Source organism: Homo sapiens, chromosome 5, assembly GCF_000001405.40.
Source record: "Homo sapiens chromosome 5, GRCh38.p14 Primary Assembly".
NCBI classification, from domain to species: Eukaryota; Metazoa; Chordata; class Mammalia; order Primates; family Hominidae; genus Homo; species Homo sapiens.
The window spans coordinates 43,481,566-43,508,377 of record NC_000005.10 but is presented as its reverse complement, the minus strand read 5'-3'; the positions used below and the strand labels follow the sequence as shown (position 1 = coordinate 43,508,377).

Genomic DNA, 26,812 nt, shown 5'->3' with positions numbered 1-26,812 from the left:
TTTTCATTCTCAGAGGTCTCAAAATTAAGTAATTATGTGACCATTTTCAGTAACAGCGTATTTGTTAATGTATAGTAGAAATATGTAACTATGGGTATGACCTTTATTATTTTGCTTATATAGTATTGTGTTTGGACTTTTAGGAATAATAACTGTCATTTACTGAGGGTTTACTATGTCCAACAACTATGAACAATATTAGAAATATTTAATAACACCATACTGATCAAAATGGATGTCCATCCAATCAAAACAGGTATATTGGCTAGATGGCAGCCTCTTTTTTTTTTTTTTTTTTCTGAGACGGAGTCTCACACTGTCGCCAGGGCTGGAGTGCAGTGGCACGATCTCGGCTCACTGCAACCTCCACCTCCCAGGTTGACGCCATTCTCCTGCCTCAGCCTCCCGAGTAGCTGGGGCTACAGGCACCCGCCACCACACCCGGCTAATTTCTTGCATTTTTAGTAGAGACGGGGTTTCATCATGTTAGCCAGCATGGTCTCGATCTCCTGACCTCGTGATCCGCCCGCCTCAGCCTCCCAAAGTGCTGGGATTACAGGCGTGAGCCACCGCGCCCGGCCGGCAGCCTCTTTTTATAGGCAAGGAAATTATGTCTTAGAGAGTTTACCTAATTTGTCTATGGCAGTTTTCTCAGTGGCAAAGTCAGGATTTGAACCTAGTCTATCTGACTCTGTAAACTCTGTTTCTCAACTACTTTCTGCTACCTTTCTATGCTGTCAAGATGCTTGCCTGCCGGCTGAGTAATTTTATATTGTCTCGTGGCAAAGGAGCCATAAAAAATTATAAGTTGTAACTTAGCCTAGAATGGTAATTTTCCATTGTGTCTTTTGAGTCACTTTATTCACTGAAACTGCCTAGCTTGTTGCTGATGCTGCAGCAGGATTATTAGATAGTCTAATTCTAAAAGAGGAGTTTGATGACCATCCTTACAAACCAGCTTTGCTGTCAGTAAATACAGCCCTCAATTTTAGTGTCCTAACATCGTACATATAGATAGCATGGTAAATTTAGGAAGCTTTCTTGACAATAGTTTGTGTAAACGTAAGATTTTACATAAATGGAATTGAAATGCTAAATGCTTGGCAAAATTAATTCAGTAAAAACCTCTCACGCAATATCTACTGTTTATATCTTATATGAAAAGTCACAATCAACACTGTTACTTGTTATGAGTCTTTTATTAGTCAGAATCAATTTTTCTTTGAGTAATTAAACTTTTTTAAAGTTTCCTCTAAGCCTCCTGAAATTTATTTTAGTGTATGGTGTGCCAGGTACTACCTAGGATGGGTACTTTTTACATGTTACCTTATTTGGTTCATGTGATAACCCTGCAAGACAGAATTTCCCAAATGCTGTTCAGTAATTCTAGTACTAGTTTAAATAATTTTCTCTTTTCCCTCTTGCTCTGAAAAACTTATGTTATCTCATGTAAATTTTAAGATATGATTGAGTTTGTTTTTGAATTTTCTGAGTTGTTCTGTCAATAATTTTTATGGTAGTCCTGTACCATTTAAGCTATGGTTGCTTTTTTTTTTATTTAAAACTTAAAGAAAAATTTTTAGCTATGATTGCTTTTAATATAATGTATCATAGTGTTGGTCTTCCCTTATTTCTAGTTTTTTTTCAGAGTAAACTTTTGCAGGGTGAGGGGAGGGATACAAATCTGTTTAATTCATTGTACATTTAAAACCAAAATACATTTAACACTAAATATGACCATTTCTCTCATTTTGTGTCTGTTTTACATCTCTTTTTTTTAAGGGTGATAATCTTAACAATATCAAACATTCTCTGGAAAATCATATATAGGCTGAGATCTGGCCCTCCATTTTTTCATTCTCTGTAGATAGTAAAACACAAATATTTAAGAGCTTTCTTACACAATACTTAAATATCAAATATATGGAAAAATTGGACTGTTAACAGAAAATACTCACCGTCTCTTTTCCCCTCTCCTTGCAGCATATCTTCATTGACATAACAGAAGTGAGATGGCCCAGTCTTGATACAGATGGTACCATGATATATATGGAGAGTGGCATTGTGAAGATAACATCTTTAGATGGTCATGCATACCTCTGCCTGCCCAGATCTCAGCATGAATTTACAGTACATTTTTTGTGTAAAGTTAGCCAGAAGTCAGACTCATCTGCAGTGTTGTCAGAAACAAATAATAAAGCCCCAAAAGATAAACTAGTTGAAAAAACTGGCAAAATCTGTATACGTGGAAATTTACCAGGACAGAGACTGAAGAATAAAGAAAATGAGTTTCATTGCCAGATCATGAAATCCAAAGAAACTTTAAAGAAGATGAGTTGTGTAAATGGAACTGAAGGGAGGGAAGAGCTGCCTTCGCCTGGTACAAAGCACACATGTGTATACACATGGGTCAAGCAGTGCTGGTCTGTGGCTGCCTGTCCAGAGGAATGGAAATATCCTTTGTCTTTAGCACTTCATTTTCATAATAAAATCAGCAATATGTCTAAAATTGATGCACATATAACTCAGAGTAGATTTTTAACTTCTGATATTTCAGAGGAAAGAGGAAAAGTGGTTTCTGTTCTTCCCAGGGCCCTGTCACTCAGCTGTCCAGTCCCACACCTACACAGGTAATGCAGTAATGGCTATTGGTCATGAAGCTTTTTATCAGAACCAGTCTTAACCTGGATAATTTTCTTTTTATCTGATACCATTCACAAGGAAAGTTTATCTCATCCAAAATTTTGCTTTTAACTGATAGTAAATAATTTCCCTAGCAAATGTGTTGCTTATGTTTTTTACTCTGTGTCCATGCATTGAATGTAGAAGGCTGACTCTACACTAGATACTGTGCTAAGTCCAGTAACTGCAGAGATGACTAAGACACAGTCCCTGCTTTATAGCAACTTAGAATCTAGTGAAGGTCACTGTACCTAAAAAGATTATTAAAGTATGCTAAATGATGGGACAGGAGTCTGCACAGGGCTCTGTGGGCCCAGGGGAGCACCTGCTGCCGCTCACTGGAGCCCGTGACCTTGCTTGCTGGAGTGTGGATCTGACACAGTTCTTTTGTCCATACCTAGCTTCAGAGGCTACCCGTGTCTTTGGTTCACTGACTATAAATACGTCTGTTTTCAAAAGGGGTACACACGGAGTGGCTTCTGTAAGGCTAAGTATAAAACTTTTAACTCCACTAAGGATTGTAGATTTGTAACATCAACTTTGCATAAACAGTGCAAATCATAATGATAAAAACTAACACTTACAAAACACTTATGTGCCAGGTACTGTTGGACTTCACCCGTTTGATTCTCAAAGCATTCCCATGAAGTTAAAAAACGTATCATCCCTATATGTAGAGGAACTTGCGACATAGAAATGTTAAATAACTTGAGGAAAGGTACACAGCTAGTACTTGTAAAATTGAGATTTGATCCCAGGCAATCTCTGAGTATACATTTGTTATTTAAAACAAAAATATGGGAATGACTGTTAGGCTTGTCATGATTATCTGGTTAAAATGAGAAAAGTATTACGAGTACACATCAAAAGGGAATTATGCTTCAAAAGTAATGATTTTTCAATAACTTACCATGATGTTTAGGTTGAAATCCATGATCCTTCACATAGCTTACCAGGTCTTTTGTGACCTGGTCCCTTCCTATATCTGTAATCCTCAACTCTCTCACTACTCTTGCCCTTGCTTTCTCTATTCTTGCTAAGCTGGACTTTAGCAATCCCTAAAATGCTTGCTCAAGCACTCTGTGACCACTGCACCTACTCTTTACTCTGCAGGAGTGTTCTCTTTCTCTCTCAGCTGGCTAAATTATGCTCATTTCCAGGTTTCAGCTTAAACCTAACTTCTTTAGAGTGGTTTTCCTGAAGACCCTAAACAAGTTAAGTCCTATACAATTCCATAGCATGCAGTACTTGCCTCTTCTTTACACTCAATGTTTATTATTTAATGTCCCTGCTGAGGGCAGAGACCATGTCTACATTTTTTTGGTTGTTATATCCACAGTGTGTATAGCACAGTGCTTGGCCCACTATAGATATTTTAGTAATTTTTTTTTTTTTTTTTGAGATGGATTCTCGCTCTGTCACCCAGGCTGGCGCGATCTCAGCTCACTGCAACCTCCGCCTCCCGGGTTCAAGCGATTCTTCTGCCTCAGCCTCCTGAGTAGCTGGGATTACAGGCACGTGCCACTACGCCTAATTTTTGTATTTTTAGTAGAGACGGGTTTTCACCATGTTGGTCAGGCTGATCTCAAACTCCTGACCTCGTGATCCGCCCGCCTTGGCCTCCCAAAGTGCTGGGATTACAGGCATGAGCCACCATGCCTAGCGAATCCAGGCTAAATTTTAAATGTTATTAAAACTGTTAATTTATGTAATTGTGCTGAGATTCAATAATGAGATTATTGAAAATAGTGAAAAAAACATGGAAAAAGACTTGCTTTTTACATTTCATTAATATACCTTCATATTAATTTTTATTCTTTGATCTAGTGAGTTAAACAAGAAATTAATCCTGTTACAGTAGCAACATTTTGTTGACTTCTAAAGACAATTATATTGAGCAACCAGAAGTAATAGCTTGTATTTTATCCTTCACAGGTGGAATTTTTGTGATTCACTTTTACAGAGACAATCTGATGAATATTCCTATCCTGAACTAGTGAAAATGGTTTGGTACAAAGGTGTTACATATAGGTAAGGCACCTATGTTGGCTTCTATGTTGGAGTTAGAGCTGTTTATTGATGTCACAGAGAAGATGGGACGAGCCTTATAGACAGACTCTCAGAAGAGGACACAGTTCTGTTGGGCCAACTGTGCTCCTGTGTTTGATCCTGAGTTTTACAGGTCTCAAAACTAATGTTATTAGTGCACACAAGGGTCCTGTGACTCACTCACATTAACCATTTTTATAAGACTTATGTGGTACCTCCAAAGCCAATGAGGGATTGGTTTGCTAGTGAATGTAACATTCATATCAGTTATTTAGGATACTCCTTCCAAGCATTGGAGGATCAAGTTGTTTGAAATAGTCAAAACAGAATTGCTTGAGCATGGAATTAGAGAAGTTAGATCACCTAAGGGAGATTTTAGCCTTCATTCACAAAGCAAATACTCATTGAGTGGCCACTCTGTGCCAGCACTGTTCCATTGAATTATCCATACCCCACAACAAAGGACACCCTTCTAGTGACTAGAATACTAGTGTTAGCCAGATTGAGAGTTTCACTTCCATGAACAATGCTAGAAGAGCACTGCTAAATTTTTGGAGAGCGAGGGGGCTCTCCTTTTCCTATGTGAAGACCTATTCCTTCTAACAACATATTCTAACATGTATGTTAATAAAATTAACTTGGCTTAAGTTTCTATTTGGTATATACCCAGTACCTTGATTGTACCTGGCTGCTCCAGGTACAGCCATCTTTTCTTAGGGATAGCCCCTTGTGCAGACGGCTAATCTTATCCATAAAGTATTGATTCCGCTAGTTTCATTAATCTATTTTCAGGTTCTGGAAATGTTGTATTTAACACGTATGCAATAGACATTGCTTTGGTGACCCTTATATGCCAGCCTTGTGATTAGCAGTGGGGATATCAAGAAGATGATAAGACAAGATGCCTGAATTCCAGAAGTTCTTAGTTTAGTTGTTGAAATAAATGCATAAGCCAATTCTATTTATCTTTTCGTGAAAGAGTTAATTTAGCTGGTTGGGTTCAGAATATGAAATTATCTGCTTCACTGGACAGGCAAAAAGACTGTGTTGTTTTGCTTAGATTTTGTTGTTACTGTTTTTTGATGACTATCTTCATGCATGTTTTAATCTCAAGTGGAAAAAAATTTTTAATGGTTATTTCTATTTCTTAGACTTACCCATCAAAATATGAACTCAATAGAGATTTATTCTGGGGATGGATCTGTTTTCAAATCAGAAGGGGCTTATTTTGGGAACTATTTTACTTATTATTCTATTCAAGAAGGATCAGGAAAGGTAAGCCAACAATGAACTCAACTCAAGAAGAGTTTTGCTGTATAGCTCTTTCTAAATAATTCCAAATATATATGGGAAATTTGGTCATTATATAACATTGCTTCCTACTCCCCAGTCTGGAGTATTAATATAATCTTACTGCCAGCATTGGTACAGTAATTATTAACCACCTTATTTTTACTGTATTTTCACCTGCTATCTCCATTTGCCTAAGCAGTTCATGTTTAAATCAGAAACTTTCTTTTGTCATAGACTTTATTGATGGAAAATGCTGAAACCAGGACTTTGAGTTAATACACTACTTTGAATTAATATTTGTACATTAAAAAGCAAAAGCACATTCTTTTTTCCCCACCATGTAATTGTGTATTTTAAGCACCTCTTAACTTCTAAATCTTTATATACAACTAGACAGTTGAATAAGATTGTTCTCTGTTGCTGAAAACAGTGAAACATAACATGGTATAATTACCAGCCCATAGTCTTAATAATGTCAATATTTTGTTAATGAGTTTTAATTTGCTTATTGCCCCTCTGATATTTGACATCTACCATTTCACAGCAATCACTATAGTATCACACTACTTTGCATGCTAGAACAAAATAAGTATGTTTTCTCTCTTCATTACAGAGTGGAGTATTTAAATACTAATCAGATTATCAGAATCCCTAGGGAATAGAGTTAAAAATTGAGATTTTTTTAACTATGGAAATTTCAAACATATACAAAAGTAGACAAATATAAGGGACCCCTATGTACCCATCACCCATCTTGTTCATTTATACTTCCTGCTTCTCCCTCCACTCCCTGTTTATTTTTAAGTAAATCCCAACCAAATATTGTTTTCTTCATAAATACTTCAGTATATATTGGAACAGATTCCCAACTGGGGCCTATTTCTAGGAAAATATTTAGTAAATACATATTAATTGAACAGTAACTCTTTGGCAGGCATTCTGGTAAGCACTGACAAGGATGAAGATGAAGAAGAGTTCCTGCCCTCAAGAGTTCACAGTCTTGTGTTCAGTTAGACAGGCAAACAAGCAAATGAGATACAAGCATGCCCAGTAACATGTATACGTATATATGTGTGTATGTGTGTTTATATAGTACATCAGACAATCAAGTGAGCAAGCAAATAGAGTAGGTATGCATAGTCATATTGCTGACTGCTGTATATCAGAGGGTGTGCAAAATTGCAAGATAAAAGGAGTGTGTCTTCCTGGAGCTTCAATTTTACTCAAAGCTGTTGCGGGAGGGGGTGATAATTTTTATACTAAAGCAAATATATCATGGAGTAGAAGCATGAGCTTTTGGGTTAAAACGCATTTGTGGTGGACTGCCTTGGGCTTCACTCTCCAACCTTTGTGTGCAACACCTTCACCTTTCTCTGTCTGTTTTAGTGCAAAGGTTTAGAAACAATTGACCCTCTTTTGGGGATAAAGTTGTTTGCTCCTTACTTTAACCCAGACTCCAAAATAAATTTCAGATGAATTAAAGAGCTAAATGTAAGAAACCAAACTTTATAAGTGTTAGAAGAAAATATAGAAGAACAATGTTTAAAATCTCTGGGTAAAGGAGGCCTTGTTAAGTAGAATACAGAAAACCAGAAGGCATAAAAGAAAAGTTTGACAAGCTTGAAATCTTCAAACTTACGTTAAATTATAAATATTTAGGCTGGGCACAGTGGCTTATGCCTGTAATCACAGCACTTTGGGAGGCCAAGGCTGGTGGATCACATGAGGCCAGGAGTTCGAGACAAGCCCAGCCAACATGGCAAAACCTCGTCTCTACTGAAAATACAAAAATTAGCCAGGCATGGTGGTGCTTGTGTGTAATCCCAGCTACTTGGGAGACTGAGGCATGAGAATCGCTTGAACCTGGGAGGTGGAGGTTGCAGTGAGCCAAGATCACACCACTGCACACCAGTCTAGGAGACAGAGCAAGACTCTGTCTCAAAAAAATTTTTTTAATTAAAAGAAAATTTTAGAATTTCTGTTAAAAAGATAAGCAAAAGCCCAGAAGATATTCCACACTATAAATCAGTAATAGACCAAAAAACCAAAATACCCTAATAGAAAAATGGGCAAAGGGTAAAAATGGATTTAGCCATAGAAAAGATAATGTAAATTAAAAAGTCATAATATTTGAAAACATATTCAACTTTACTACTTGCATCAGGGAAATGCAAATTAAAATATCAATGACATAACATTTTTCCCTTACCAAATTGCCAATAACTAAAAAGACTGATGACATCTGCTGGGAAGGGTGTGGGAAAAGTGGTGCTTTCATAGTGTTGGTTGAAGTGTTAATTGGTTTGGCTTTCTTAAAGGACAATTTGATAACATCAAATGAAATTGATGAGAAATTCTGCTTCTCAGTATCTAGCCTAGAGAAATATTTGCACGTGTTCAAAGAAGCACGGCCAAGGGTGTGTTTTGTGGCATTATTTGTAGCAGCAAAAAATCAGAAGCAACCTAAATAAATGTTCATTAATAGGGAAATGGTGAAATAAGTTGTAATTATCAAATTATGGGAATGGTGTACAGTAGTTGAAAAGAATGAGGTAGATGTCGATGCATACAGTAATAGATTCTGGAAGATCTCAAAGATCGGGTTGTTGAGCGAATAAAGAAACTTGCGTTAGAACACGTACAATGATATCTTTTGTGTAAAGAACAAAAAATAAACCCATACCTATATAGTACTTTCTGTAATACACATGCACAAGCACAAGTAAGGATCCTGGGCAAATACACACTGAAGTAGCTATGTTTGGGAAAGAGTGTGGGATTTTGTGAGGGAGGAGAAGTCTGAGAGGACTCAATTTTCATACTTTTTGAACTTTTTTTAACAAAAACTTAATGTATTATTTATTGTATAATTAAAAATTGAAATAGGAAAGATTGACAAGTACTCACAGTGTAAGTACTTCCATAGAGATAAGAACTTGGTGCTTTGGGACCACATAAGAAAGGGCACCAGACCCAGTGTTTGAGGCTCCAGAAACAACTCCTGAAGGAAAACTTGGCTAAGCTAGGATCTATAATTCCAAAGGAGGAGTTGTACAAAAGACAGATGGAGGTAGGAGGAGCATATAGCTAAGGGAACAATTTACTTTCTCAATTGTTTGCATGGCTGGCTTCTTGTCACTCAGATTTCTATCTAAATGTCATCTCCTCACAGACGCTTTTCCTGACTATTCAAATTAAAGAAGCTACCCAAGACACTCCCTATCATGACATCCTCATGTTTTTTCTTCAAAGCACTGAATATTGGGTGACATTTTCTTAATGATGTATGTTCTTTATCAGCTACACTAGATTTAAGCCCTATCTTATTCAACACATTATTATTGCTGCTTCTTAGCACAGTTTATAAATGGCACCTAACTGGACACAAGAGCCTGGGGCGAGTGTGGAGTGTTGAAGGAAGTGAAAATGTTGTAGTTTGGTAGGCCAAAACATAGATGGGATGCTGGGGGAAATGTCCAGAGAAGAAGCCAGATCACTAAGATGGCCAGCTCACAACTGGAGCATGAGTAACCTCACTGCATTTGGGGAACCATTGAATGATTTCAAGTAGGGAAGTGACATCAGATTTTTGTTAGATTATTTCAGAGGAAGATGAACTGGGTGGGGAAGAGGTAAAACTTGAAGCTGTAGAACCAGTCAGAAGACATGTATAGTAGTTCAAGTGAAGGCCAGGCAGTGGTAGGAAAAATGAGAAGGAATATTAAGGAGACAGAATTGATTGCTGACTGGACGCTGAGGATGAGGAAGGAGTTGAAAGGGATGCCAAATTATTAATCAATGAATGGTGGTGCCCGGTACTGTGTGAAACCAAAATTTTTATCAAATCTAAATTTTTTTGATGATGGCTTTTTTTTCTTTTGCGCCTACCATGAGATGTCAATTAAGGATTTGAGATTATTAAAATTCAACTATATCTCAACCCCACCTGCCTAATAGATTATAAGACACTCTTAATTGTAAGATGGATCCAGATTTCAGAGAGGTTAAATTGTGAAAAATGAGCATTTTAGAGTTGATGAAATAGGGTCTTGGAAATAAGAACCCAGAGGGAACTCAATATCCAGTAGAGAAAGACATAAATAATTAAAATATGGTATTTTGAGTGCTTCCCATGTGCTAAGCACTGTGCTAATAAATGATAATGATACAGACATGAGCAAAACAGACACAGCCCCTTCCTTCATGGAGCTGCATTCTAACAGGGAAAACAGACATTAAGTAAAAAACTATTAAATTGAAGTTGTAATTAAGACCAAGAGGCAGGATTAGAGGGAACTGTGCTTGTGGACATAACTAGGGGATTTCTCCTAGTCTATGAGACCTCTGCAATGGCTTCCCTGAGACGGAAGGAAAAACAGGTGTTAGCTAGGCAAAGGGAGGTGCTGGAGGAGGGAACTGAGTTCTAGGTAGAGGGAACAACGTGATAAATGACATACCAAAGGTAAATACAGCGTAGAGAAAGTGAAAGTGCAAATTTTGAAATGACGCTAATTCCAGTTTTAACATGGTGATGTTGAGGTGTCTGTTTTCATAGCCAAAAGAGAAGCCCAATAGAGATTTAGATAGTCAGGTCTGTAGACCAAGATAAAAGGACAAAGACTTTTGTTTGGTACCTATTATATGCTAAATTCTGTCCCAGGAACTTCATATGTATATTATATCATTAATCCTCAGATAAGTCTGGATGGTAGGCAGTATCCCCATTTCACAGGCTGCAGGCACTGAGGCTTACAAAAGGTTGTATAGCCTGCCCATCATTATAGTTGGTAAGAGGCAGACTTGTGATTTGAATCCACATCTGTCTGACTTTGAAGCCCCTCTTCTTCCCCTAATGGTAAAGAGTATGAGCTGCACTCTCTTGGTGGTTTAAATCAGATCTCTACTGTTTCTTAGCCCTCAGTCTCAGTTTTCTCATCTGAAGAACAAGCATTAATAGTTATCTCAGAATTATTTTGAGGAATAAATGAGATAATCCATGTAAAGTGAGTAGGATAGTGCCTAGCGCATAGTATCTGCTCCACAAATGTTAGCTGTTGCTATTATGATATTTAATGTGAACACAGCTTTGGACCCTTTTAGTATTATCTAAAAAGAAATCAAGAAGTCAGAAGAGAAGGCTGGAGACAGAGTGCTGGGAAACACTAGCAAGTCTGAGGAGGAGGAAACTCAGAAAGAATTTTAAAATAACAATTTTTTTCAAATTTCAGTAACCTCCGCCTGTAAATAATTTTTTCTTCCACAAACTGTAGCAGTATTTCTTCCATTAATGTAGCAAAATGGTATATTCATTCAATTAAAATAGTTTTTTTAAATCTATATATCCATGTCTTTTTGTCTTAAGGGAAAGGGGTGGCTCATGATAAATTTCCTGCTAATGTGTAGGAAAATTAGTTTGGTTACCATGTTAATGTAAATGTAGCTAATATTTAAATTGCACAATAAGTTATTAGAATGTAACTTTTGGGCCAGGCACAGTGGCTCATGCCTGTAATCTCAGCACTTTGGGATCCCTTGAGCCCAGGAGTTTGAGACTAGTCTGGGTAATATAGTAAGACCTCGCCTCTACAAAAAAACTTAAAAAATTAGCCCGGTATGGTGGCATGTGCCTGTGGTCCTGGCTACTTGGGAGGCTGAGGTGGGAAGACTCCTTGAGCCACAGAGGCTGCAGTGAGCTGTAATTGCGCCACTGTACTCCAGCCCTGGGCAACAGAGTAAAACCCTGTCTCCAAAAAAAAAAAAAAAAAAAAAAATTAAAAAAAACTTTTGAATGAATAGGAGTAATTCTATATTTTTAAAAAATGGGAAAATGGCTTTTTTTTCCCACAATGGGTTTGCCACCAGAACACAGGTGTTGTGAAAACTACCCCTAAAAGCCAAAATGGGAAAGGAAAAGACTCATATCAACATTGTCGTCATTGGACACGTAAATTCGGGCAAGTCCACCACTACTGGCCATCTGACCTACAAATGTGGTGGCATCGACAAAAGAACCATTGAAAAATTTGAGAAGGAGGCTGCTGAGATGGGAAAGGACTCCTTCAAGTATGCCTGGGTCTTGCATAAACTGAAAGCTGAGCGTGAACGTGGTATCACCATTGATATCTCCTTGTGGAAATTTGAGACCAGCAAGTACTATGTGACTATCATTGATGCCCCAGGACTCAGAGACTTCATCAAAAACATGATTACAGGGACATCTCAGGCTGTGCTGTCCTGATGGTTGCTGCTGGTGTTGGCGAATTTGAAACTGGTATCTCCAAGAATGGGCAGACCTGAGAGCATGCCCTTCTGGCTTACACACTGGGTGTGAAACAACTAATTGTTGGTGTTAACAAAATGGATTCCACTGAGCCACCCTACAGCCAGAAGAGAGAAGAGGAAATTGTTAAGGAAGTCAGCACTTACATTAAGAAAATTGGTTACAACCCTGACACAGTAGCATTTGTGCCAATTTCTGGTTGGAATGGTGACAACATGCTGGAGCCGAGTGCTAACATGCCTTGGCTCAAGGGATGGAAAGCCACCCGTAAGGATGGCAGTGCCAGCGGCACCATGCTGCTTGAGGCTCTGGACTGCATCCTACCACCAACTCATCCAACTGACAAGCCCTTGCGCCTGCCTCTCCAGGATGTCTACAAAATTGGTGGTATTGGTACTGTTCCTGTTGGCCGAGTGGAGACTGGTGTTCTCAAACCTGGTGTGGTGGTCACCTTTGCTCCAGTCAACATTACAACAGAAGTAAAATCTGTCGAAATGCACCATGAAGCTTTGAGTGAAGCTCTTCCTGGGGACAATGTGGGCTTCAATGTCAAGAATGTGTCTGTCAAGGATGTTCGTCGTGGCAACGTTGCTGGTGACAGCAAAAATGACCCACCAATGGAAACAGCTGACTTCATTGCTCAGGTAATTATCCTGAACCATCCAGGCCAAATAAGCGCTGGCTATGCCCCTATATTGGATTGCCACGCGGCTCACATTGCATGCAAGTTTGCTGAGCTGAAGGAAAAGATTGATCGCGGTTCTGGTAAAAAGCTGGAAGATGGCCCTAAATTCTTGAAGTCTGGTGATGCTGCCATTGTTGATATGGTTCCTGGCAAGCCCATTGTTGAGAGCTTCTCAGACTATCCACCTTTGGGTCATTTTGCTGTTCGTGATATGAGACAGACAGTTGCGGTGGGTGTCATCAAAGCAGTGGACAAGAAGGCTGCTGGAGGTGGCAAGGTCACGAAGTCTGCCCAGACAGCTCAGAAGGCTAAATGAATATTATCCCTAATACCTGCCACCCAACTCTTAATCAGTGGTGGAAGAATGGTCTCAGAACTGTTTGTTTCAATTGGCCATTTAAGTTTAGTAGTGAAAGACTGGTTAATGATAACAATGCATCGTAAAACCTTCAGAAGGAAAGGAGAATGTTTTGTGGACCACTTTGGTTTTCTTTTTTGCATGTGGTAGTTTTAAGTTATTAGTTTTTAAAATCAGTACTTTTTAATGGAAACAACTTGACCAAAAATTTGTCACAGAATTTTGAGACCTGTTAAAAAAGTTTAATGAGAAAAAAAAAATGGGAAAATGAAAAAGCATCATAAAATACCATGATTTTGTGGGCTTTATTTTGTTAAAATAACTACTCGTCTTGTCACTATTGTAAAAACATATTTCAAGGAAAAGCAGCTAAGTAATAAAGGCCAAAATTTATTATTAATGAAATTTTTCATTTTAACTAATTTTCAGAGAGAAGAGAAAACTTACTCAGTAAATAACCTTCCTCCAGATAGACCGGGAAGTCCATTCACTGTCGGTTCTCTAATTAAACAGGCAACAAGGTAAGTTCTTCCCATTCAATTGAATCAAATGTTATGTGTCTAAACATCTTGGCACATTTTCTTGTGATTAAGGATAAGATTAAGAATTGGCAGGTACAATGGAAATATATGCCTTCGGTAAAATTTGTCAACTTTTTTGGTGTCATAATTTATAAAATAAGGTAATTTTTGTGTCATTTATTAAGATTACTTCTGGCTTTGTAATTTAAATATGGAGAAATATCCATATATGGTGAGCAAGTGCTGAGAGGAAGTAAGTGCCCTTTCTTTGCATAAGTGTGGCATCATTATTGTTCCTTGAAATCAAGTTGGAGATTTGATGTTACATTTAAAATTTTTATACTTCTTTATTATCTTCAGAGTAATAGATTTCTGAAAATATACTAATGATAAAGCATAGATTGGTTCTTTGGTTCATATGTTTTTAAAATTCTCTCAATCTATGATACCCAGAAGAATGCAAGTGGACTGTTGTTTCTTTTTATAAATTTATGTACAAGCAATTTCCAAAATAGATTTGAAGAAGCATATTCTGTAATTTGATTTCCTAGGGATAGTTGATTCACATCCCTACCATTTTTAGCCTATGTGAAACTTTCCAGGCAGTGTGAATCTATCACCTCTTAAAAAAGGAGTTCCTGAAAATTCTGTCCATGGAATCATTTCATTGCTAAAAATTAAAGGAATAGCCTTAAGTAGGTAAGATTAGCACAAAGGGAAGCAACAGTATTTCCCTTCTAGGGGCTTAAGGATTTCTGGAGAAAAAAAGAGTTCCCAACACATTTCAGTGAAAATGATTTACTGATCATCTAAAATGTTGTATGGCAGTGAAAATGGGTTGCTAGAATTGGAAAATGTCATTTGCAAATGTTTAAGTAGTATTTTTTGTGTTCACAGAATTCTTCAACATTGTGTGAAGATGAGACTTTCTTTAAGCCATAACTATCGTATATGCTGCTGGAAAATGGTATGTTAAAATTATTTTAAAAGCAAGATATTTTTAAATTGTTTTATTGTTTATATCCATACTTCTGAGTTCAAACAGTTTTCCTCTAAGTCATGTGAGAAATTCTTGTAACATTAATGTTGGTTTATTCAGAAAAATACCTACCTAGTAGACAAACACTGAAAGTTCAGGCTTTTATGTTATAGTTTTATTGTATATGGTTCTTATTTTTCATGAAGAGGAAAGGATAGGGGAACTGATTGGATTTGAAGTATGTAAAATCATTAGTCATTATAAACCATGATATTATAGTGTTCTATATTTTCATAACCGTAAAAATAAATTCCTTAATGCTGATTTGGAGGAAGTGATTCTCAGACTTTGATTTCTGTATCTATATTCATTTAATTACAAACCTGTAAGCTCCTAATTTTTGTCTATAATGGATGTAAAGTTCAGAGCAGAACAGTGACTTTACAAATATATTATAACTGAATCTGCTTGAAAAAAAGACTGTTTTGGGTATCCACTTCTGGAAAAATTAAAATATAAGGATTTTATAATATTTGACTTCTGAATAAGTATCCAAAATTGCCCTAGAGTCATTAATATTCATTTAAATCTTGTTCTTAGATAACTCTATTTCCTGCTATTTTTATTTACTTGGTTTTAGGTACCTGGGATAAATGATAGCAATATACTGCCTTTGGTTTTGAAAGAGTCACTCATACCCAGTGTGGGAAGATTTCTTGCCTACTCTGATGACAAAGTACATGCTATCTTTTTAGATGGCATTACTCTAACCCTAAATTGGAATTTCAGCTCTCCTATTGAGAAGAGACAGGTGGGTATACTTCAGACTTAGATCTATTTTTTATTGGTAATCTGTGGAAAACAGAACAAAGAAAACAAAGTACCACACTATTTCAGTTCATTTTTTGAAGTATAAAATCTGTCAAGAAGCTTTACTGATCTCTTTGGATTTCCTAGCAAAAATCAGAATGATTTGACAAATAGTCACTTTTCTAAAGATAACTGATTATAGAGAAAGGGATTAGTATTTTCATTTGCTTTGATAATTACCTATATGAGTGGTGGTTAAATAACACCCATATCTCATGTAAACAACATTTAAACTGTTGCATCTTTAATGATTCCTCTACTTATTTCTTTAAGTTAATGAAGTTAGAATAGGTTGTTTATGTTCTTTTTTTCAGTTCTAAAATGATAAAACTTATCTTTCTACTTCTTCAGGTAAATCAAGGTCTTAACTTAGGTTGGTGTAAGTTAACTTTTCCTGATGGACAAGAGCAGTTAATTCAGATTGAACACCCTGAACCATATGAAAGGTACTGAAAAGCAATTTTAAAAATTATTTTTATGTTTTACTTTTAACTAACAGAGAATAAGCAATAAGCATTATTTAAGTGTTATATATATTTTTAGTTTTTCCATGTGGATAATAATGAAGGCATTTCAGTCGTTTCAGAGTTGATAGCTGTACTTGTGTTTAGCATAACTAAATAGATCAAGTCAGCTTTTTTTTTTTTTTTTTTTTTGAGACAGAGTTTTGCTCCTGTGGCCTGGGCCGGAGTACAATGGCACGATCTCGGCTCACCACAACCTCCGCCTCCTGGGTTCAAGCGATTCTCCTGCCTCAGCCTCCTGAGTAGCTGGGATTACAGGCATGTGCCACCATGCCCGGCTAATTTTTGTATTTTTAGTAGAGATGGGGTTTCTCCATGTTGGTCAGGCTTGTCTTGAACTCCCGACCTCAGGTGATCTGCCCACCTTGGCCTCCCAAAGTGCTGAGATTACAGGCATGAGCCACCATGCCCGGCCTTCAGGTCAGCTTTAATCATTTCATTTGTATTCAAGTAACTTTTCAAAATGAAATGTGTTATAGACATACTGATTTGCTGTGGAGGTTGGATATGGTCAGCTGTGTTAACAATTAACTAATCCTCTAGCCAATTTGAAATAAGATTTGCAACCACAAATAACTGAAATTCTGTATATTTCTATAAAGTGGATAAAATTACGCAATGATTATCTTAAAATGGGGAAGAGTCTTCAGCTTTTTATGAATTTTTTTTCTTTTGGTTTATCTAATTTATTACAGTAAATCTTGTGATAGTCTTCACATTTTAGTGATTTCACTTGAGAATATTCACAAAATAATAGCTTTTTGTTACCTCTTGAATGTATTTTTCTGTTGGGTTTTATTGTGTTTCAGTCTAAGTGCTCATTCATTGCTATTAATGATTTGCCTCAAAAAAGATAGTTTCTTTAGCAAACATTTCTATTGATTCAGCCAATCATTTCAGATCATTCATTTTATTAAACTTGATACTTGTTTTAGATATGTAGTAAGTTACATATAATTACACATATGCATACAAGCATATGTGTATATGCATTAGCAGGTGTTTTTTGGTTTAAATTTTAGTAAGCAAATGCTCAGTCAGTCTTATTTTGTGTGAATATTTTTTGATAAAACTTAAACGCATTTTACTTTGAAAAACTAAAAGAATTAGAACATTTAAAATTGAACTTTAAATGAAATCCAAATATCGCCTTTATTTTGATTCTTAAATGTCACTTGTATTAATCACAAATATAAGTAAATCATTTTATTCTTGATGAATAATGGAAAAAATTTGGCTTTTCTATGACCAGTGAAAAATATTTTGAGAATTGCCCAGTAAATGCTTCACTTTAACATTTTTTCTTTATCCTTTTTTCCCAAATTGTCTTATTTTTACATTTGTTTATAATTTTATAATGTATTCAAGTTCATTTTTCAAGTATTTCTTTTAATGTATTCACTTTAGATATGTGACAACAGTAACATCATGGTGCAGGAGACTGACCCAGACTAGTCCCAGAGAGATGCCCACTCATTCGTCATCTTCTGTTCTCCAAGAAAATTGGTATTTTTCTTTTAAACTTAAATCTGTTTAGAAGAGCTAATACTTTAAAAAAAATTAAAATGTCAAATGGTAAACTGAGACTTTTTTCCCCAAAAAAACTTTCTTAGTTTTGAATATGTTTAACTCCTAAAGTATTTTTGATAGCTTAAGCTTGAAAATAATTTCTAATCAGACATCTAATTTATTACATTTCATCATATTCTATTTTACCTAAAGGTAAGAAAACCTTGCATTGAAAACTTAACATGAAAATGAGTGGCTCTTTTTATGTGACAAATTCATCCTGAAAACTTTATGGAAAAATTTAAAGGGGATTCTTAAATTTTTAGTAATGTTGAAGGAAATAAAAGGTTTAATAACATAAGCTTTCAGAAAACATTGATTTTTAAATAATTTCTGTCATATTAGTTACTTCTCCCAAATTAACTGGCAGATCAAATAAAGCAAGTATTTTAGTCCCTCCTGTGTGCTTTTCAGTGTGCAGGGTACTAGAACTGGGCTTCAAGGGAACTTTCTGTGAAAATATAAGACATTTTAGGGAGGAAATAAGGGCAGAAGTAAAAAGGATATTTTAGCCTGTGGAGATAGAAGATAGTTTTTATGGAACATATGCTATCTATTAGTATATAGTATGAGTTTTGAGGGCTAGGAATGGATCTTATAATAAATAGGAGTTCAGACCTGATGGAATTAGAAAGTCCTAAATGGAAAAATGATAGGAAGAAAGGTCATTAGAAGATTAGTGTCACTGAGAGTCTAACCTGAATATATGGGAAGACAGGGATACCAGGAACAATTTGGGAAGCTTTTTAAGTAAGTTTTGTGAGGTGACCTAACATAGTGTAGTGAAACAAAATGTAAACATTAAGCCAATTTTTGTTACCTTTTCCTAAGCCCTTTCTTAGAACAAATCAAATCATATCAGTAAGCGTTATTTGAATATCTCAGGTAGCTTAAGGATCCAGCTTTGCAGATCCCTCATCCTTTAGCTGTAGCCTGTTTGGAAGCAGAAAAGTTGCTAAAGTAACTAGCAAAAAACAATTGTGATGGAAGGAAAATTGTACTTGTCTATAAAACCATCACTTCACCATTGCTTAGCTGGCAGTTTGTAAAATATCATCAGCCTTTTTATTTGAAAGCTGAGAAGAGGCTGTCAATACACACTAAAAACTGCAAGTAGAGATTGGTGATAGTAGCTAAAGGTGAAAGCAACTAGGAACAGCAGAGGCAAGATAAAGAAATTGAGGAGTAGCTCCATTCCCCCTATAAAGCCTTAGGTATCTCCACTTCGGTTTTTCTTATCAAAGAGGGTAGGTTGAAGGAAGAAACAAGATTGTACAATAAAAAGCTACCTAAGTTGTATTCTAGTATTTTTTTTCCGCCACACCCTCCATTATTAGCTTATTAATTCAACTTTTTAGTCAACAAATAGTACGTTTCATAAAAAGTTCGTTCATTATGAGAGCAATAACAATAAAGGTTGTATTGTTTCTTACATCCAGAAAAATGCGTTGGGTTTAAAAAAAAAAAGATATTTTGCAATAATGAACAATCAGCTGGTTGTTGGGGTAAGTTGTATCCAAGTTCTTTGCCACAGGTGTTTAAAATTATGAAATATTTCTTTTCATTCTCCATCCATAGGCTGGAGTACAAGGGAAAGAGTACAAGCTGACAGGGAGGTGCATGTGATCTGTTGTAGTAAAGCCAATAAAGCAGACAAGTCACACAACCTACTACGAACTGTGAAGATTTTTCTGGTGACTTGAATATTTTAGACTAATGTCTTCATTAATTTTGCAGAGAGCTAGTCAAGTTACAGTTTGTAGTTGTATGCCATTGCTCATATTTCATTCTAACTTGATAAGAAAAAGGATAAAGAACACACACTTAGGGGTTCTGCTGGAGACGTATATATTAGCCCTCTACTCCATACCAGTTGTCCCACTATCTTTCTATAGAACATGGTATAAGAGCTAATGTTCATCATGTTAACCCTCTGTGCTTAAAAAAACAATGAAATAAGTAGGTAGTCTATTCCAGAAAGAATTTAATAAAAAATAGTTGTTTTGACACGTAATTCAACTATTTAAAAACTTGGATCTCCCATACCATCCATTCCCAAAGAGTTCCATATAAATGAGGTCTTAATATATGCACAAGTACAGAAAAGTAAAAAATCCTTTCTTCTGAGAGAAACAATCTAGGTAGGAAGAGCAGGAAGTTAAATAGTTCAAGAGAAGATATTACAAATAAGTATGTGATTAATTAATATGCTATAGGAATTCAAGGAAGGAGAGAGCAGTTCTTTCACAGAAGGAATGGGATTTTAATAGGTTTGTAAAGTTTGCGTAAACTTTAGGGAGGAAAGTAGAGTGTAAGCTAGGTTAGTACTAAGAAGTAACAGGAAGGCCCATTATCCTCAAACATCAATATTTGATTACAAATTCCTTGAAGTGGATTTACAAGGGGTAGACTTTTATTCACTTACCTTTAAAGGCACTCAGTAAGTATCAGTTGAGTCAAGTTGATTTGTTGCTAAATAAAGGTAACATAAAGAGAATTCTTCTGCGTTCTTCCGTTTAAAATTCTAATGAAAAAAAAAGTCAGGTATGCTTATTTGAAATATCATGAATACAAAAGAATCAGACAACTGAATGAATTTTTTCTTTTTCCTTGGACAGGTCTGTTGCTTCTGAACTTGAAAAGATACAGAAGTTTAACTGTATCCTTTAAACAGAATGCACTGTCCTACATAATTACTCTCTTTCATTCTAGGCTTAATTCATGACTTCAGTACTTTGTGAATATTAATCTATACTTAATATATTGCTAACCTTTATTGAGTCAGCAAATACCTAAGATTGTAATTTAAGATGGATCTTGTCCATAGAAGGTATAGCATGTTAACATTTATACTTTTCTTTGAGTTTAAATTGGGCAAAGAACAGTTAATTAGGGTTAAGGTCTCCTTTGGAGACTTTTTCACTTACATAATTATATAATAAAATTATAACTGTTTAAGACCTCTTTTTTTAAATGAAATATTTCATTCTGTACATTCTCACCCAATTCATCTAAATTTGTTTTCTCTTGTGGTTTTTCTCTAATCTTATTCAAATAAGTTAGTTCTATAGCGAACAGGTTTTTCACTCTAAATCTTTTTAAATTAAAAATAGACACTACACAGATTCCTTATAATCCTGTCATCCTACTCTTTAATTCCCGTGTCATTTCTTCACTTAAAGAAATGTTACTGAAATTTTCATTTCCTCCTTACCACCAAACCTCCACCCAAACACACACATACACACTCTATTCTCTTTCCCCCTCCCTTATACTGTAATTAGTTTCTTCATCTACAAGGAGCAGACTTGATAAGCCTTGCAGTTCCAACTGTATTATGAATCCAAGAGGTCTTCCAGCTGAGAAATATTTTAATATGAAGCCTATGCTTTCTGTATATAAAGATATTTATATAGTGAAAAATGTGGGGAAAACCTCCTTAACTAAGCAACTTAGTGCTACTAGAAAATAGTGGTATCCTAAACCAGATTTCTAACAAGAAAAATGAACAACAGTCTTTTGATCATTATAAACCAGGATCTTCAGAAACCTTGCTAGGAGAAGTTAATGAAAATAGAGTATCAATAGCATTGAAAAAAACCTCTGAAATCCTTCACGATATTGACTGTCTTCTATCAAACTCTAAAAAGTGAAAAATGGAATTATTACAACATATTATTAAAGTTTAAGGATGTTGTTTCAAGTGACTGGTATAAAATTACTAGTAAGCCAAGATATTGTACGTATTACCCCGGCACAATGATTGTGAAAGAACTGACATTTAACTTTGAAGGTATTTTTAACTTGTACATTTTTAAAATATGTATTTATATCTTAATAATAAATATTTCGAAGTTTTGAACGTTTCACATTTAATTCTTATTTCAGATTAACAAGAAAAAAAATTTGTAACATTATAAAGTTGTTGCTGTTTTTATCTTGTGGAGCATTCACTATTAATCTTCAGGTTTTTTCATTTTGTTTGTTTTTACTGTTTGAGATACGGTCTTGCTTTGTCACCCAGGCTGCAATGCAGTGGTGCAATCATAGCTCACTGCAGCCTTGAACTTGTGGGCTCAAGGGATCTTCCCACCTCAGCCTTCTGAGTAGCTGGAACCACAGACATGTACCACCATGCCTGGCTAATTTTTAAAAATTTTTTTTGTAGAGACAGGAATCTCCCTATCTTGCCCAGGCTGGTCTTGAACTCCTGGCTTCAAGCTATCCTCCTGCCTCCGTTTCCCAAAATGCTGGAATTACAGGTGTGAGCCACTGCACCCAGCCTCTTTTTTTTTAATATGCAGAATTGTGCATTTGTTCACTTGCTATTTGGTCCCTTTACTCCAAGTATTTTTCAGTAGAGCTATGAGACAAGAACTACATCTCAAAAACAAAAACGGAGACAAGCAACATTGTAAACTAAAAATCAGGCACTTTGGCAAAGACTGTATCTAAACTGTCTCATGAACCAGATACTTTCTTTTGAACACAGGAAAAGATTTATGCTGCAAAGTGTTTAACAGAAATGAGCTCACCAAAAGTGCTATTTATTATAAGCTTGTCTATTAAGAAAGAACAAAACCAAATATCTATAATGACGTCAAGATTACACCAAACACAACCAGAAATGTTCTAATTTTCTGATTTCTATAAAAGACCTGGCTCTTCAAATAAACGGGAAGCAGTAACAGAGAAAACGAGAAAAATGGGGAGAAGAGTGTAGATCAGGAATGATAATGTCACTAAGTTAAAGGGGCACAATGCCTTTTTTTTTTTTTAGTTCCTCTGACACTGGATTCCTTCACATTTCAATTCTCAAACAAGTACCATTTCCTCAAAAGGGCCTTCCTTACTACCTGACTAAAGTTAGCATCTCCCAAGTCTATTACATCACCCTATTTACTTCCTTTATAGTACTTATTACAATCTGTCTAGCTTGTTTCCTTGTGGCTCACACCCTCCACTAGAACTTGAGCTCCATAGTCATTCTGTAGCACACTGAGAGCACTCTGTTTGTATAAATGAATCAGTAAGCTGGGCACAGTGGCTCACGCCTGTAATCCCAACACTTTGAGAAGCCAAGGAGGGGGGAACACTTGAGCCCAGGACTTTAACACCAGCCTGGGCAACATAGCGAGATGCCCATCTCTACAAAAAACTTAATTACCTGCACGATGGCATGTGCCTGTGGTCCCAGCTACTCCAGAGGCTGAGGCCGGAGAATCCCTTGAGCCCAGGAGGTCAAGGCTGCAGTGAGCTATGATTGCACCACTGCACTCCAGCCTGGGTGACAGAGGGAGACCCTGTCTCAAAAAAAAAAAAAAAAAAAAAAGGAATAAACATCTACAGGCAGTAGACCGACTACAGAGAAAAGAACTACTATTACATTGTTTGGGTTTGCATGAAGCCATCTATGTTGTTCCTCAATAGCTCCATAAAGCCTAGATTATAAGACTTTGTACCACACTGCCAAAAGGGTAATGCCAAATTATTACTGCATTCAGAAGGAGAAAATTTGTCCTTAACATGGCTAAAAGCACTCAAAATTATAAATACATTTGCTGAAAGATACTTTAAATTCTCATTTAAGGTGTGTGGGAGTTAAAAGGTGTTTAATTTTCCCTGTCAGTTGGGTGTTTTACATTGGCTAAGAACCAAGACTGTGACAAGAAATGAGTTCTATGATTGAGAAACTCTAAGATTCTGGGGGTGGCCTAGGAGTTTACTTTGAGATTGAAATTTATTTTCTATGGTCAACTGTATAATTACGATGATACCACCCCTTGCTTTCCATCTGACACTTGGTTTGAGAAACTGTAGGTAGGAAAGGGAAAGAAGAATGTCCCTCCTTGGGCCTCTTCTTTTGGGCCTGTGCTTCCTAGAGTCAAATGTCAAGCTGGTATTTCCTTGGTGCTAAGAGCAACCACCACTCTGAGGCAGAGACGGGATGGGACCTAGCCAAAGTCCCAGTAAACAAACTGTATCTTGTAAGCGCAATTTAATTAGGGTCAAACTATTCTGTATGGACTTGCTTTTTCGACTTCTGAGGATTTAGTAGTCATGATTAAGTGCTGTCACGCTACTGCGATCTACAAACAGTAGCTCCACAACATCCGCCCGCATCGTGGCAAAGAATTATCAAGAAATCCCCAAGGGGGCGGTGAGGAGCCGCCGGTCGGCCAGGTCGCCCGGTCCCTCAGTCTGGTGAAAAGCTCCGTTGCCCACCCTGAGGGCTTCGCGGAAGGAAGTTGGCCGTATCGCTGCACCTTAGAGATGCGACGGCCGAGGCTCCCAGCTCAAGCTTCTGGTAGTAAGGCCTGTGTGCCTGGCATTCGGGGAGGCCACTTTTCTATCCCCAGCTTCCGGGCCACCACTTGGGTGCGTCGTGGGGATGTCGGCAGCTACGTTTGCGGCACAGCTCCGGCTAAACTGAAAAACGAATCCTCAGGTTTGACAAAACTAAACTAAAAAGACACTTTTCTCCTCTCACTCTGACGTCCCAAAAGTTTCCTTTTTAGGGGTCGGGGCCTACGGTGGGCGAGGAGAAACTCGAGGTATCTACCCACCGCACCAAACAACTCATGCGTCGCTTCCTTTCGACTTGGAGCTGGCCAGTATCCCGGCGTCCTCTCGGCCGACGCTGCGGTCTGAGGCCACTCTGGCCGGCAGCCGACGTCTCTATGGCTCCGACCGAGGGGCGGAGCCGCTGCTCGAGCTGCTGCTGGATTGAACTCAGAGAAGCCGGGGTGGGTATGGCTGAGCCGCTGCGTGGGACTGAGGGGAGGGGGCCGGGTGGACGCCGCGGAACTGCGTCCTGAGGTGGGAGACCGGAGGTGGGGGACCACTGAGTCTGATGTCTGGAGGGTCCGGTTGCGGGTCGGAGGGCGTGCTGGAACAGCCGCCACGCGGGAGCCAGGAGCCTCCTGGGTGCGTGTGACCCACGAGCCGGCACCGTCCCGCGGCCCTGGGGTCTGCGAGGAGCCCTGGCGCCGCCCTCCGGCTTCGCGCTTTTTCTAGATCCCTAGAACCCCAGCCCTCCGCCTACGCTCCGCGCCCCTGGCCTTTTTCTGGCCCAGGGTGGGGTTCCGGGAGTCGTGCCGAAGGAGCCCATTGCCGTCCTTAACCGGTTGTAAGAGCCTTTCGTGCCCCGGAGCCTTTGAGGCTTGAATGCTGAGAGTGTGACATGGTCCTTTCCCTGCAGCCTGGCCCATTTTTTTAAATGACATTTGAAAAATTATTGCATCACACCAGACTCAGAAAAGGATGTCTGGGAACTTCTGAGGCTTGAAACATGTTGAAATACAGAATTTTGTTTTATTCGTAATGGGCATAGGAACTAAACATTTTAAGTGCAGACATCTGATGGCTATAAAAAGTTTCAGTGAAAGTAAGCAAGATTTGTGTTTCCTTTGTCAGTTAGTTGCATCAGATTTGGCATCTGCTTTTGATATTTTTCCATTAAAGAAATTAAATATATTAAGTTTACAGCAACTACAGTTCAGTGAAGAAGACTTACTGGTAAAGCATAATAAAGGCGGTTTCTGGAATTTGGACCGTGTTTTGACCTTGGGTTTTTGCATATAATGTGTAAGGTTGGTGGGGAAGAGGGAAAGTTAAAACAGATGACACTTACTTAGAGAATGTATCAGCTCTTATTTGTTTTGACAGAAATAATGTCTAAGAGATTATTAGCAAACAATACATGATAGCGTATAATTAAAGTGACCAGCTAATTATATGTTTGTGGAATTCAGGAAGGAGAAAAGTACTGTTATGTATACTCTGAAGGCCCCAAAGTTAGTGGTATTTGCTATAAGGGGGATGGGGTGTGACAAAGTTTGGCCATTGCAGAAAATGGCTTCTGCGAGTCATAGGGAGGAATTTATAATATGTCAGTTATGTCAGAGAAGCTATCCCAAACAGTATCTTTAGTTCATAGGCTGCGGATTTATTATGTGATTATCTCTTGTATTAGTAAAATGGAATATTTATTAAATACCTTGAGCACACTGGATTTTTAAACATGACAAGTTTAAAAGAGATCACTACTCTTAAGGAACCTTATCAACAAAAGTGAATATGTAAAAGGAGGTTCGGGAGTCCGTTTTATTTGTAGGGGGAGGAATAGGAAGTGGAAAAGGAAATAAAAAGTTTAAGAAGAAAAATGGGTACCCTTAGGTGTATTATTCAGAGACAATAAGTAATACAGGAAGAACACTTAGTAAATTTCTCTTTTTCTAATACTCAGACTCTGAGCCAGATGTTAAATATCTGCACCAAAAGTTGGAGTAGAATAGATGCCAGAAATGTGGGGTTCTGGAACTGCAATTATACCTTCCTTAAAAATAGAAATAGTTCTCTTCTACGTATCTATTGTGTAATAAATTACACCAAAACTTAGAGGCTTAAAACAGTAGACAGTAGGGGCCAGGCGCCGTGGCTCACGCCCGTAATCCCAGCACTTTGGGAGGCCGAGGCGGGCGGATCACGAGATCAGGAGATCGAGACCATCCTGGCTAACACGGGTGAAACCCCGTCTCTGCTAAAAATACAAGAAATTAGCCGGGCGTGGTGGCGGGCGCCTGTAGTCCCAGCTATTCGGGAGGCTGAGGCAGGAGAATGGCGTGAACCCGGGAGGGGGAGCTTGCAGTGAGCCGAGATCATGCCACTGCACTCCAGCCTGGGTGACAGAGCGAGGAACCATCTCACACAAAACACAAACAAACAAAAAACAGTAGACAATAATTTTATTCTTTCTGTGGGGTCAAGACTTAGCTGGCGGTTCTGGCCCAGGGTCTCATGAAGTTGCAGTCAGGATGTCGGCAGTGGCTGCGGACATCTGAAGGGTTGACTGGGGCTGAAGGATCTGCTTCCAAGTTCACTGTGAGCTTTTTCCTTCCTCTTTCATCAGCAAGCTGTTTTGTACTTTCCATTGGTAAAATGCATTCGCATTATACCCATTATATATAATATATGTGTTCCTATTCGTAAACCGTGATACA

At 37.6% G+C, this 26,812-nt stretch overlaps 2 protein-coding genes, 1 long non-coding RNA gene and 1 pseudogene across 18 annotated transcripts in view, besides 5 other annotated features; 3 read left to right on the top strand and 1 right to left on the bottom strand.

Moving 5' to 3' along the window:
- C5orf34 (chromosome 5 open reading frame 34) overlaps nucleotides 1-21,669 on the top strand; it is a 28,440-nt gene extending 6,771 nt beyond the window's left edge. For 3 of the 5 annotated variants that reach the window (XM_017009446.2, XM_017009445.2, NM_198566.4), the window contains 10 exons: nucleotides 1,984-2,630; nucleotides 4,618-4,713; nucleotides 5,883-6,006; nucleotides 13,777-13,868; nucleotides 14,766-14,835; nucleotides 15,488-15,658; nucleotides 16,069-16,163; nucleotides 17,649-17,747; nucleotides 20,429-20,469; nucleotides 21,267-21,669. In XM_017009446.2, the coding sequence (XP_016864935.1) occupies nucleotides 2,041-2,630; nucleotides 4,618-4,713; nucleotides 5,883-6,006; nucleotides 13,777-13,868; nucleotides 14,766-14,835; nucleotides 15,488-15,658; nucleotides 16,069-16,163; nucleotides 17,649-17,747; nucleotides 20,429-20,469; nucleotides 21,267-21,463 (1,575 nt within the window). In that variant the 5' untranslated portion in view covers nucleotides 1,984-2,040 and the 3' untranslated portion in view covers nucleotides 21,464-21,669. Of the gene's footprint in view, nucleotides 1-1,983; nucleotides 2,631-4,617; nucleotides 4,714-5,882; nucleotides 6,007-13,776; nucleotides 13,869-14,765; nucleotides 14,836-15,487; nucleotides 15,659-16,068; nucleotides 16,164-17,648; nucleotides 17,748-19,388 lie in introns of those variants that run through there. The other 2 variants (XM_011514038.4, XM_047417156.1) reach the window with 2 other exon arrangements.
- Nucleotides 1,181-24,459, bottom strand: C5orf34-AS1 (C5orf34 antisense RNA 1). The gene is made up of 3 exons (XR_007058763.1): nucleotides 24,377-24,459; nucleotides 20,236-20,334; nucleotides 1,181-2,170 (listed from the first exon to the last, which is right to left on the bottom strand). It is a non-coding gene; the product is annotated as a C5orf34 antisense RNA 1 (long non-coding RNA).
- Nucleotides 11,856-13,500, top strand: EEF1A1P19 (eukaryotic translation elongation factor 1 alpha 1 pseudogene 19; annotated as a pseudogene).
- Nucleotides 19,396-19,565: an enhancer, noted in NCBI's record as "experimental_85282 CRE fragment used in MPRA reporter constructs". NCBI's record gives its function as "activates a minimal promoter by MPRAs in K562 erythroleukemia cells, with activity observed for both the introgressed and non-introgressed 5:43489000 variant alleles {active_cell/tissue: K562}" and the evidence as "EXISTENCE:reporter gene assay evidence [ECO:0000049][PMID:34662402]".
- Nucleotides 23,639-24,482: an enhancer, noted in NCBI's record as "NANOG-H3K27ac-H3K4me1 hESC enhancer chr5:43483998-43484841 (GRCh37/hg19 assembly coordinates)". NCBI's record gives its function as "activates a minimal SCP1, AML or CMV promoter by ChIP-STARR-seq in primed H9 embryonic stem cells {active_cell/tissue: H9 hESC(primed)}" and the evidence as "EXISTENCE:reporter gene assay evidence [ECO:0000049][PMID:30033119]".
- Nucleotides 23,639-24,658: a biological region, named in NCBI's record as "NANOG-H3K27ac-H3K4me1 hESC enhancer GRCh37_chr5:43483998-43484841".
- Nucleotides 23,991-26,812, top strand: part of TMEM267 (transmembrane protein 267) — a 40,136-nt gene continuing 37,314 nt past the window's right edge. For 7 of the 12 annotated variants that reach the window (NM_022483.5, NM_001377394.1, NM_001377397.1 and 4 more), the window contains exon 1: nucleotides 24,513-24,556. The gene's annotated coding sequence lies outside the window, so the exon portion shown is untranslated. Of the gene's footprint in view, nucleotides 24,259-24,512; nucleotides 25,198-26,812 lie in introns of those variants that run through there. The other 5 variants (NM_001377402.1, NM_001377398.1, NM_001377399.1 and 2 more) reach the window with 3 other exon arrangements.
- Nucleotides 24,184-24,373: an enhancer, noted in NCBI's record as "active region_22539". NCBI's record gives its function as "activates an Ori minimal core promoter by ATAC-STARR-seq in GM12878 lymphoblastoid cells {active_cell/tissue: GM12878}" and the evidence as "EXISTENCE:reporter gene assay evidence [ECO:0000049][PMID:35858748]".
- Nucleotides 24,428-24,658: a silencer, noted in NCBI's record as "fragment chr5:43483822-43484052 (GRCh37/hg19 assembly coordinates)". NCBI's record gives its function as "represses an EF-1alpha promoter that drives an FKBP-Casp9 reporter gene in an ReSE screen in HepG2 liver carcinoma cells {active_cell/tissue: HepG2}" and the evidence as "EXISTENCE:reporter gene assay evidence [ECO:0000049][PMID:32094911]".